The 12,256-nt window shown below is 44.7% G+C and overlaps 1 protein-coding gene across 3 annotated transcripts in view; it reads left to right on the top strand.

The window, feature by feature from the left end:
- Positions 1-12,256, top strand: part of SLC6A11 (solute carrier family 6 member 11) — a 124,487-nt gene that overhangs the window by 85,078 nt on the left and 27,153 nt on the right. For all 3 annotated transcript variants that reach the window (NM_014229.3, XM_011534033.3, XM_047448764.1), the window contains one exon: positions 10,785-10,888. In NM_014229.3, coding sequence (NP_055044.1) covers positions 10,785-10,888 — 104 coding nt within the window. The remainder of the gene's footprint in view (positions 1-10,784; positions 10,889-12,256) is intronic.

The raw sequence follows: 12,256 nt of genomic DNA on the forward strand, positions 1-12,256 counted from the left end.
ACATGGCTGTCCAGCCTCCTGGGCAAAAGCCCAGCCACAGTGACCCTCGTTCCCTGCTCCACACAAAGGGGCCACCGGGGTCGGCCTACACACCCAAACTCCCCCTGCACAGGATTGAACGGCTCCTCACCGCCCGCAGCGCAACCCTTTAGCCCAGTGACACTTTACTGGCAGGGCCCTGGTTGGCCCCAGGGCCGGCTGCCCAGGGAAGGGTTTGGCACCAGAGCGAGAGGCTGCAGAACATATTTCCAGTTGGGCTTACAGGCCAAGAGCCTCAGCCCCTTCCCACCACTGTTCCCACTGGCCCTGCCTGCCTGCCCAGCACATTAGCATTTAAATATCTCCAAAGTCGTCTCCACCAAAGCCCTCTCCCACCATGGAATCCACCAGGGAGGGAGCATTTGAATCCCTCTCCCAGACTCCCCTTTCCTCATAATGGCCATACTGTATTCATCAGCTTCTGTATGTGGCATTAGCCGAAAGAAGGAGCAAGGGCGCCTAGCAACCCAGAGGAGGCTGAGAAAGAGGTGGGAAGGAAGTGATTTTCATGTAATCATTCACTTCTACAAAAGCCGTTGTCAGGTACACACTGGAAACACAGCTGTTTTATTATTCTCCTAACCTACTTTTAATCTTTTGAGAATCCTTACCAATATAAAAGGCAAAAAGAAAGAGCTTAATTCAGCCATTTTCTGCCAGGCCATATAAGTTGTATTTTTGCCTCAAGCCAAGGCTCTGCTTACAAAAGTTGTGTGTGCGTGTGTCTGTGTGTGTGTGGGTCTGTGTGTGTGTGTGTGTGTGGTAGCTGTCTGTTTGAAAGAAAATGTAGAAGAAAGAAAAGGCTGTGGGTTGGAAGCCCCAGGAGGGCCCCAAGCTCTGATCTGGCTTCTTGGATCCAAAAGCCCATACCCCATGTACTGTTGGGTCTGACGGTTTTCACACATCTTCTTGGCCAGGCGCTGGAACAGCAAGGAGCCTAGGAGGGATGAAGTGTTGGTTCTTCCCATCCATCTCTGTTGGACCCAAGCTGGTAGCCCTAAGAGGCATGTGTATCTGCTTTAGTGATGGGCAGTTCAGCATTTGGTGCTTCTCAGAAATCTGATTTAGTTCACCTGATGGGAAGGGAAGCTGGGATGTTGGAAATGACGTGGGTGCTTGTTTGCATAGTATAGTTGAGAATCGTCAGCCACCAAAAGAAACCAGATTAAAGGGATGGTACCAGGTACTCCACTACACACTTTACATTCATTATGTCTTTCTTTCACAGGCAAGGAAGTTGAGGTTCAAAGAGGTGAAGTAATTTGCCCAGGGTTGCATAGCAGTAAGCGAAAGAGCAGAGCTCCAAGCTGGGTCTGCTGACCCCAAAGTTTTTGCCCTTTTCATTAAGCTCCTGCAAGGCTCAAAGCATGGAGCCTGGCTAGAGCTATCTTGTTTAACTTAGGCCCCTTTTGCTTGGTGTTTCAGTGCCTTCTTCCAAGTGGGCCAGATTCCTGGGGCAATTAGGAGATTCATTTGTTCGTAAGCCCAAAGTGACTCCTCACGCTGGCCAGTGTGTACATTTCTCTAAAGTAAATGGACAAGTGACTTCCTCTCCCTGGGTGTTAGTTTATTCATCTATAAAAGGGAGATAATAAATAACAATGGCACCCACCTTAACCGTGTGGACGAGGTGAGTTTAATACCTGTAAAGCACTTTCCATCTGGTATGTCATAGGTACTAATAAAAGTTAGTTGGTGTCATTGTGATCATCAGCATGACTATCATCATACACCCTCTTACTGGTGCTTTCGTGGCAGGATGGGTTAATGCTGCATTTGTCAAAGACCTAAGGCATTACCACAGCAAACACAAGCCAATTCGAGGACATAGAGATGGATTTAATTGGTCGGTCAGCTGATGCTGGCTTTGGTGACAAGCAGAGGCATGCCCTTCTGTTCTGATTGGAGGCTCTCTTTGCAGATTTGAAAGCACATTTCTAGGGTAGCTTTTTTCTGTAAGCTGTGTTGCCATAAATGCTGTATAAAATCCCAGAGCAGCATCTGTACCTTCATGGGTAGGCGGGACCCTGGCCCCTACTGCCACTGAACTCACTGCCACACTGAACTCATCTCCCATACCCCTCCCCACAAGTTGCTCCTCTCTGCCAGATGTTGTATGAGAGCTTATCTGCCTTTGCTTGTTGTCTGTGTCTCCCGCTAAAGTGTAAGCTCCTTAAGGGTAGGAGCTCTGTAACATTTAGTGACAGCTTCAGCCTCCATTCCTGGGACTTGTGCCTGGCACATGGTAGACACTAAATGCATGCTTATGGTGCGGGGAAGAGGGAATAGGCTTTTTTGTTTCCTCCAGGTTTTTGAGTACTGGAATATCCTGGGAGGGAATGAACGTTGACTAAGCACCTGCTGCTCATGAGGGCTTCTGGCTGGGTTTCTGAATACTCTCCAGAGTATTTCTCAATGCTCTCCAAGAGCCAGGACGGTACTGAAGGTTTGTTTCACAAATGTTATTTCAACTTCTGTGTGTGAGAGAGACATGCTGCCCACATATGCACAATGACCATCTCCCCAGTCTCCCCAATTGGATAAGTCACTCCAAGAGGTAGGAAAAAGAAGTAAAGCTTTCTCCCCCAAACATCTAAGAAATTAGACATTCTACTTGCATGATCAAGGTAGGAATGTGGAGAAAAGGTGAGCATGTTTCCAGCAACCTACCTGTGTCTAACCTGGGGATGATGATGCTCACCTCAGGGCAGTGTGTGGAACACACAGGTCATAGGACATACAGTATTGTAAACTGTAAAGTGCTATCCATGTGGACTGGGACAGCGTGTGCTGAGTATCCATCATGATGACTGTAGCTAAAGTGTGGGTGGGGAAAATTTGTCCTTGTCCATCCATCCTTTCTTGCTTCTCCCAGCAAATGTCATCAAGGAGCTACTCTGTGCAGCCCTGTGGTCATAGCTGGGAAGGTGGGCTATGCCATTATTCATTGTTCTCTGTACCTACTGTGCACCAGGGCTCACTGGAACCAGTGGCCTTGAAAGAGGTGAGGTTGCCCCAGAGCTGGAGGTGGGACCACCTCTCTTCTAAAGGGGCCCCACTCCCCTGTTCCCATGCAAATCTGTCCTCCAAACCTCTGAATGTGGACCGCCCACAGCTGCACTGCCAGAACGCCCCCCATTCATTGCTGCAGAACATGGGGAGTGATCCCTTTCTCAGCTACTGACCCAGCTTCCTTAGGGTTTGTTTTGTTGAGACTGTTTTCCCTTCAAATTGTGTCGAGAAATAGGAAGCCCTTTCTCTGCTGAGCTGCTCCCTTTGTAGCGTCCTGGGAGATGCTGGTCAGTAGGGCTCAGTTGCCTGGTCTTCCTTTCATTGAGGTGGGGTTGCCTTTGTTCTGTTTGACTTGACAGCTGCAGAGCTGTTTAAATCCCAGCTGAGACTACAGGCCTACTCAGCAGACCAGGAGGTCCTAGCTTTTCTCTGTAAAGTATAGAGCCAGAACGCTCTAGGTTCAAACCCGACTCTCTCCCGTATAAGCTGTTTGACTTTTCAGGAGCCTATTTCCACTTCTGAAAAAATGGAGACAATAATACTTACCTAGTAAGATCATTAGCAAATTATGAGATTGTGTACATGAGAGCCTGTAGTACGCACTAGGTTTCAGCAAACATTAACTCAAGGTTTTCACTTCTTAAGGCATTACCAAACCCACGGAAGGGCTGGTTCATGAATGTTCTGTTAGCTTATTTTACTAGACTTTCTTTCCCCTTTCGTCAAATCATTCTAATGCCCACCATGATTTTGTTTGTCTGTGCTTGTGGAATTTTTAGTTGAAGAAAGTAGCTGTAGGTGAAATAGACTTGGGATAATGCTTTGGCAGAGATAATGCTGTGTTCATGTCATTTATTTTTTCTCTTCTTGAGTAAATGGGAAGATGACATTCCCCAGAGTTCCTTGTCTTTAGTTTGCAACCAAGTCACTTGGGTGTGGCCAATGATATGTATTTGGGAGTGAAGGCAACCCTCAGGCCTAATCCTTAAAACCTTCCCAAGCAAACCTCCAGTTTCTCTGCCTCAGAGGCTGTGCTGGAAGCTTGTGTTGAGAGGTGGTGGTGTCATAAAGGAAAAACACTTAATATCACAAATCATTGGGTGCAAGAGAGCCCCTTCACAGGGGCTATGCTTTAATCTTTGTGTGGGTGAGAAATAAACTTTTATTGTGCTAAAATACTGAAATTTGTGGGTTTATTGTTTAATACAGAGTAACCTAGCAGTAATTATCTTAACAAATACACCACCTCACTGATGAGTTCATTAGTTCCTTTCTAGACTGAGAGGCAAGGATGACATTTGGAGCCATGTTGCATTTTCACAACCACAGGCATCTGTTTAAGAAACAAACATATATCAGTTATGCTTTCTGTAAAGAGCCTAATGTTGCAGACTCCATGTAAAGACATCCCATGGTTCTTCATGGGATGTTTTCAAGAAATCTAATCCTGTACATTCTCAGGCTCTGCTATGCCCAAATGAGCATGTGTCTCAGCAGAAAAGCTGATCTCAACATTGGTTTTTCAATTGTGAAAAATAGAAGAGGCCAGGGAAGAAAATTTTAGATCTGGAGTCAGGGAGATGTTAAGTTACTGCTAAAATCCTGATGATGATCAAATATATGTCTCTAGCCCAGACATCGATATGTAGCCCTAGACTTTCCATGTATCTCTTGAACATCTCACTTGATGTCTCAAACTTCCCTTCTCCAAATTAATACCCATTTCCCCACTTTATACCTTCAACCACCCTTAGAAAACCTGGATCATCTAGTGTTGCACCCTCACCCACCATATTGCTCAGATCTGGGTATTCGTCTCTCACCTCCAGCCAAGATCAATCTTGTATAACTTGCCCTTTAAAGATTTCTTGAGAATCAAGAAGATAAGGTGGCAACAGAAAAAAAAATTATTTTAACTTCCTGGAATCTTCTCACCCAAACGAGAAACAAGGGTAGTAAAACAAAAACCCTATGGACAGCACCTTCAGCACAATTAGGTATCACCATGAACCACAAAATGTGAATAGATGGGGCCAGATGCCAACAGCAGTGACATCTGCATGATGTCAGTTCTGTAGGATAAGATGAAGATGAACATAAAGGCAAAGGGAATTCTGAAGATCCAGCACCAGGAAACCCATAAAGCTCTAACATGTACTGGGAGAGGACTCTCTTTGGGGGTAGAAGCTTAGTGGACCTATCTGAGAACATCACCTCAAATGAGGAGGGGGTCTATGCAGTCTCTAACCCCTAGGTAAGTGGGGGAGGACTGCAGCAAATTTGGGCAGAGGTCTGGGCCCTGTGAACACTACGCACTAACCAGTTGAGGCTTCATGGATATTAAGGAGAAATTACGGGAAGCAGACTCCAAATTGAGCAGGACAGAGACACTAGAGGAAATGAAAGGAGAAATTTTGGATAAGAGTGGGAGAAAAGAATAGAGAACAATAATTTCAGAAAGTACTATCTGTATGGCCATAGTTTTAAAGAGTTTTTGGCAATAAAAGAATAAGGAAAGTTCAGACTGCAAGTCTAGAAAAATCTATCCTGGACCACTCTCATTCCTCTACGCAAGAAAATCCTCTCCTAAGAGTACAGGAAAATCTATCTCACCTAAACGTGAGCAACAGAAGAGGACTGTGATCAAAACTTATGCAAAGCTGTGATAAGGAAAATAATTATGGGGAGAATATTGTCCCAAGGCATTGCACAAAGACAGAACCACAAAACAGTGCAGCACTGAAAGTTAATATTTCAAAACAAGCTAAAGGAAAATAATAAACCAATAGACACTATGAGGCAAATAGCATACATGAAATTGTCAGACAAAAATACTATTTAAAAAGAGAGCTGACAGGAAGGACAACTTACAAAAGAAAAACTATTTCAGAAAAAGTAACTAAAATGAAGGAATAACAGTGAATACAGACCATGGATGATATGACAAAGCAAACAGAAGATGGAAAGGAGGAAAAATGTAAAAATAAAGTCAGAAAAGAACAAAGACTTTTTAAAGAATGAAAGAAAAAGTGATAGGTATAGAAGGTGAGCAAAGAAGGTCCAACATACATACGAGTCCCCAAAGAAGAGACCCAAAGCAATGGAAGAGAATAAATACAGCAATAATTTTGGGATCTTTTTTCTCCTGAAAGAGAAGAATTGCACTTGCATCCTGAAAAAATATACCATGAGCCTGAGAAAATCAACACAGATTAGTCACTGTTGGACTTTAATAAAGTGTAGAACAAAACCTGTTGGACATCCAAACCAAAAGAATAAGTGCTTTATAAGGGGAAGCAAGTTATATTGGCACCAGACCTTTCTACCACAGCACTTTGTGCCAGAAGGCAACTAAGCAATATATTCCAGATACTCAGGAAAAGAAAAAGAGAGCCAAGGATTTTATATACAGCCAAATTGCCTTTCGAGTATGAAAGTCACGGATCAACTATTCTAAACATGCAAGAACTCAGCTAATATTATTTCCTATGAGACTTTCCAGAGGAATTTACTGGAAAACATTCTACAGATAACAAAATTGACTGGAAAGGTATTAACATAAGGGCTGGGGGTGATTGTTAAATTCATAGTTACCTATCAAATTCACATTAAGTAATGACTATAAGGAGCCTGGCATGCTGGTGCATGCCTGTAGTCACAGCTACTCAGGAGGCTGAGGCAGAAGGATCATGTGAACTCTAGATTTCAAGGCTGCAGTGAGCCATGATCACACCACTGCACTCCAGCCTTGGCAACATAGCAAGATCCCATCTCATTCAGTCAATCAGTAAAGGCTATTATGTGATGGTTGTATGTTCTGATAATCTATACAGTGTACTAAAAATTTGAATATAATAACATATATATGAAAAGTATAAAAAGTTTACAGATTGACTTGTAAGTATTAACTGGAAGCAAATGGATATTTCTTCAAATTGGATGCTAGTGGGTAGGGAGGGAAGACAAATGGAGGCTGTAGCTAATTTCAGTATTCCTCACAGCAGAGAACCAACAGACTGTCAGAAAAGGGGAGGATTAAGCGTATTGTGTAAAGGTGCTGGTTTAATGGTGAACATCAGAATAAAAATGACAGACTTTTCCCCATAGAGGTAGGAGAGCAAGATGGAAAAATCATTTGAGAACATACCCTTAAAGATTCATGTGAATCTTTAAGCCCAACATGCCCTCTTTCATCTCTTCTCCAATCTCAAAAGGTGTGCCTCCTCCAGGCAGCCTTCTCTGATTGCCTTAGCACAAGTTTCTCTTTCCCCCCATCTGTCTCTCCCAGCTACTGGGCACCTTGTTTTGTGAATGTTTTATCTCACCTGAGGACAGAGATGGAGTGCTATGTAAAATTGAGTGGTACTCTTTCAGAGTGTGACACAGGGTTCTGCACAGTATACAGGTGAAGGCACTCAGTGAATGCTGGTCCATCAGTAATTTGGGATTGATTAAAGGATTTGGGCTCATACCCTCTGGGTTTTTCTAAGAGCTAAATGTTGCTATTAGCTTGAGTTTGAAGTGAAAACAATTCAATCCAATGTGACTTAAATAAAAGAGGAATTTATAGGCCTCTGAAATGAAATGTTCTAGGATAGGTCTGATTTCAGGTCTGATCCAGGGAGTCATGTGCTAATATTGGTCTGCCTTTGCTCTAGACTCTGCTTTCCTGTGTGTTGGCCTTAATTCTCAGGTAGACTCTTCCTTCATGGCCAGTGATGCCCCCAGCAGTTACAAGCTTAACATCCCCAGCAAAAAAAAAAAAAAAAAAAGTGTCCCATTGACTTGCCTTGCATCATATGCTCATCCATGAACCAGTCACTGTAGCCAAGAAAAATCCTTGGATTGGCCAGGTCTGGGTCATGTGGCCAGCCCTGAATCTACCTCTGAGCAGAGAAGAGGTAGCTTTCCAAAGTAAAATTGAGGTGCTGTTACCGAAAAAGGAAAGATGGATGCTAAGTAGGCAAAAACAGCAGATGTCCATTTCAGCGTTGATGTGCCCAAAGAGCAAATTGGAAAAAAAAAATACCTGCAAGTGAAAATCATTGGTTTGGGGGACGTATCTGGGGCTTGTGGGTCGAAAGCTTTCTTTGGTGTTTTCTAACTCATAGAGCGTTTATTCACCATGTTAGGGGGAGGGTCCACTCCACTGAGTGACGGGGTTCAGTCAGGATTGGGGAGCCAGCTCTCCCACAACTCTGAGGGCTTTGCTCACTCTGGCCTGCACACTCTGGCCCAGAACAGTGAAAGAGGGACACCTGGTTTGTGGCACCATTAACAAGTGTGACTGGAGGCCCAGTGTCTGGTCAGGCACTGAGTAGCTCTAAGTTGCCACTGGGATTTGGCCTCCCATTTCCTGGGTCAGCAGCTGCACTGCTTTTTGCTTCGCCATGTGGCTCACTGGCCTTACTAAGCAGAACAGGCAATCCACTGAGGTAGCAAATGGGGAAACTGAGACAAAGCGGGAGGAATTAAAAATACAACCACTTCTTCTCAAGTCTTTAACACTTTTTTCTCCACTGGACCTTTCCTACCAACATTTAAGCATCCTTAAGCTTCTACCATTTCCAAAAACCTCCCCCAAATTGTATTTACCCTTTTACTACCAGCCTATCTCATACCCCCCACACATCGAAATGTCTGGAGTTTGTTCTTGTCTTTCCTCTTTCCAGTTTCTCCTACCCCATCTCAGTGCACTCTGGTCTACTGGCATTACCTGCCTCTCCCTGCCCCTGCACTTCATGAAAAAGCTCTCCTTAAGTTCCTCACAGAGCTCCAAGACCCTAAACCCAGTGATACTATTGTTAGAGGAGAAAAAAATACACTTATTTCTCAGGTTCAGAGGCGGCATTATGATCTTCCATTTTAATAGGCAATTTGTTGAATGACTTAACACAGTTGGGCAGACCCACGATAGAATGACTTGTACCATGTAATCCAGTTCTGAAGAGGGAGGAGATACAGATACTTTGCCTGGAAAGGAAAGAGTTCTGGGGTCCAGTGGGCATGAGTATTTTCTTTTAATCTTTAAAATGCTACCACATGGAGGAGAGGGATGTGGCCTGCGTGCCCCCAGAACGAGGAAAACAGGAAGAGAGAGTTCATCTCATCTTTAAAAATGTTCTAATAGTCAGAGCTCTCTGAAGAAGAAAGGGTCTGGGTCAGAAGATAGTGAGCTTCCGGTCACTGGTGGTAAGCAAGCAGAGACTATTCTGTCAGAAGTACTCAGAAGAGAGTCCTGTGTTGAGTGAGAGGTTACACCACAGGCCTTCTGAGGCTGATTCCACATTGGAAATTCTGGGACTGAGTGGGCATACATCTCTAGAGGCAGTCCTCCATGGACTTGCATCTGCCACTTTCCAGCTGTGTGGTTTGGGCACATTACTCAACCTCTCTGTTCCTCAGTCTCCTCAGCTGTAAGAGGGGGCCAATAATAGCACCTACCACATAGGGTTGCTGTGAATTTTTTTTTTTTTTTTTTTTTGAGACAGAGTCTTGCTCCATCACAAAGGCTGGAGTGAAGTGGTGTGATCTGGGCTCACTGTAACCTTCACCTCCCAGTTCAAGCAATTCTCGTGCCTCAGCCTCCCACGTAGCTGGGATTACAGGCCCCCGCCACCACACCTGGCTAATTTTTGTATTTTTAGTACAGACAGGGTTTCGCCATGTTGGCCAGGCTGCTCTCACCCCCTCCTGACCTCAGGTGATCCACCCACCTCAGCTTCCCAAAGTGCTGGGATTACAGGCATGAGCCACCCACCATGCCCGGCCGGGTTGCCGTGAATATTCAGTAATGCATGAAGGGCAGTAATGCGTGCTGCCTGTACATTGAGAGGTCAGTAAGTGTTTCCTGTTTTATATATTTAGTGCCAGCCCTGTTCTCCAGATGGCATTTGATACCTAAGCATGAGTCTCATCAGCTGCATTTTGATTTGAGCTCTGGATTTTCCTTGGCAACTTCTAGGGGCTGGGCTCAAAGGGAGCCCGGGGAAAGTGTTCGAGAAGCCACTGTCATTTCTGTTGTGCATGTCATGCTGTCCACAGCAGTTTTTATCAAAAGGGAGCTTGGGGACTAGGAAAGTAGTTATCTTGTGTACCACATAGGAAGCCTAGAGGGGGGGAGTCTGTTCTGAAAGGGAGAAGGACATGGTGGGCCTCCCTCACTCCTCCCCTCCCTGCCACCTTTTATGCTGAGGTCAGCTATGCAAATGTATCACCCTGGACAGAATCTTATGACACTTTTCTCATGGTGGCCTTAATCACAAGGAAAAGGAAGCATTCATTTTACCTTAAACATGACTTACCTTGCAAGCAGGCACTAGATCCCAGGGGCTCATGGTCCTTGTTGCATGAATCCTTGCAACAGTCCTGGTAGGGAAGTTTCTTCCCTACTTTGCTGATAAGGAAACAGCCTCAGAGAGGTTAAGTAACTTGTCCAGGGTCACACAGCTGAGGCCGGGGTCCTAAGCATTCAAATTCTTGCTATTCACTGAGCTATTATTCATAAACTCTGGCAAATTCTGGAATTAATTGAGGACATTTACACTTGATCATGTGGTCCCCAAGAATAGAACTCTTTTAAAGGGGGTCCTGGGTAGGTTAGGAAGTTTAATTATCCCTTATGGAGTTTTTCTGAAGGGTAGAGTGTGGGTGGGGGATTTCAGAGACCAGGGCTACCCTCTCACCACACATCTGACTTCTGTTTATGCCAACATCTTTGTGCCTTCCTACAGGTCTGGGTAGATGCTGGAACGCAGATCTTTTTCTCCTATGCCATTTGCCTGGGCTGTCTGACCGCTCTGGGAAGTTATAACAATTATAACAACAACTGCTACAGGTGAGCATTTCCCTGGGCCCTGCCAGCTCTCCACCAAACCCTGAGAGCCCTCTAACCTGCCAGGCTAGTTTATGTTTGTCTGCCCACCTTGCAGGGCCCCAGGAGGAGATAGATAGGCTGTTTGTTGGCCTCCCACTACCGAAGGGTCAAAGAGTGGGCCACCAAGAAGCTAGGAGAATAGCAAATGTAGTCAGAGTCTCTCTCAGGCTGCAAAGCCAATCCCCCACCACTACCGGCATCTCATTCAGGTCTCAGTGCCACCTCGTATGGTAAAGACGTATTCCAGGATGGATAAGTGACTTGCCCCAGTCACAGAGCTAGTATATACACCAAGGGCCTTGTTCTCTCGCCTACTATTTAGAAATCTGCTTCCTGCCCTTCGTACTTGACTGTAGGGTCATCTTCTGCCCCACCTGGGGCCAGTGCCCCACTTTGCCCCTCAGCCTAACATGTCTCTCTGGCCTCCTGTAGCTGGCTGCACCAGGGCTGGGAGGGGGTTCAGGTGAGGAGGCGAGCCCCAGTGTCTGACCCTTGGCTGCCTGGCCTCTCACACGTGCAGCTTGAGTTCTACAGCAAGGCTGAGTCGTGGAGGGCAGGGGACCTGCCCAAGGTCACCCAGCTCTGTGTGGTGGAAGTGCTGATCTAGGATGATGGTCAGTCTGTTGAGGTTTCGGTCCACTGGGGTCTCTGCACCCCTGAACTCAGTGCCTGGTACGCAATAGGTTAATATTTCATGGTAGATGGACAGCGCATCTCTTCCTTAGAGTCTGAGAGCTCCTTAAGCAGAGATAAGACCATGGAATCATGACAGTGCAACAATCCCTTACCACAGAGTAGTGGAGAAAGGAAGGAAGGTTGCCTTTTTTTTTTTTTTTTTTAACAAATGGTTCTGAGATAGGATAAGTATTTTGGGGAAATCATCAAATTAGATTCTCATATATCATCCCATCTTTCCACCATAGTTAAGTGTCAGATTGATTAAAGAGTTAAATATTTTTTAAAAGAAAACCACCCTATAAGTAGGAATGAAATACTGATTTCAGAATGGGAAAAGATGTAGAAAACATCAAAAATAATTAAAGAAATCACAAAAGAACTAAGTGGCAGATTGGTCCACATAAATATGGAGAACATCTAAATTTCTGGAAAGAAACACAAAAACTATTCAAAATAACCACCTCCATAAAGTGAGACTGGGAAGTCAGAGGTGGGGAGGTGGGCTTTTCCCACTTCCACCTTCTATACAGCTTAAATGGGTGTGTTTTGTTTAGTTTCTTTTGTTTAACTTTGAGTACGTATTGCTTTTATAATTTTTAAAAAATTGTTAATACAAATATCATCTACATTATTTTATTTACAAATATGAGA

This window comes from Homo sapiens, chromosome 3 (genome assembly GCF_000001405.40).
Source record: "Homo sapiens chromosome 3, GRCh38.p14 Primary Assembly".
NCBI lineage: Eukaryota > Metazoa > Chordata > Mammalia > Primates > Hominidae > Homo > Homo sapiens.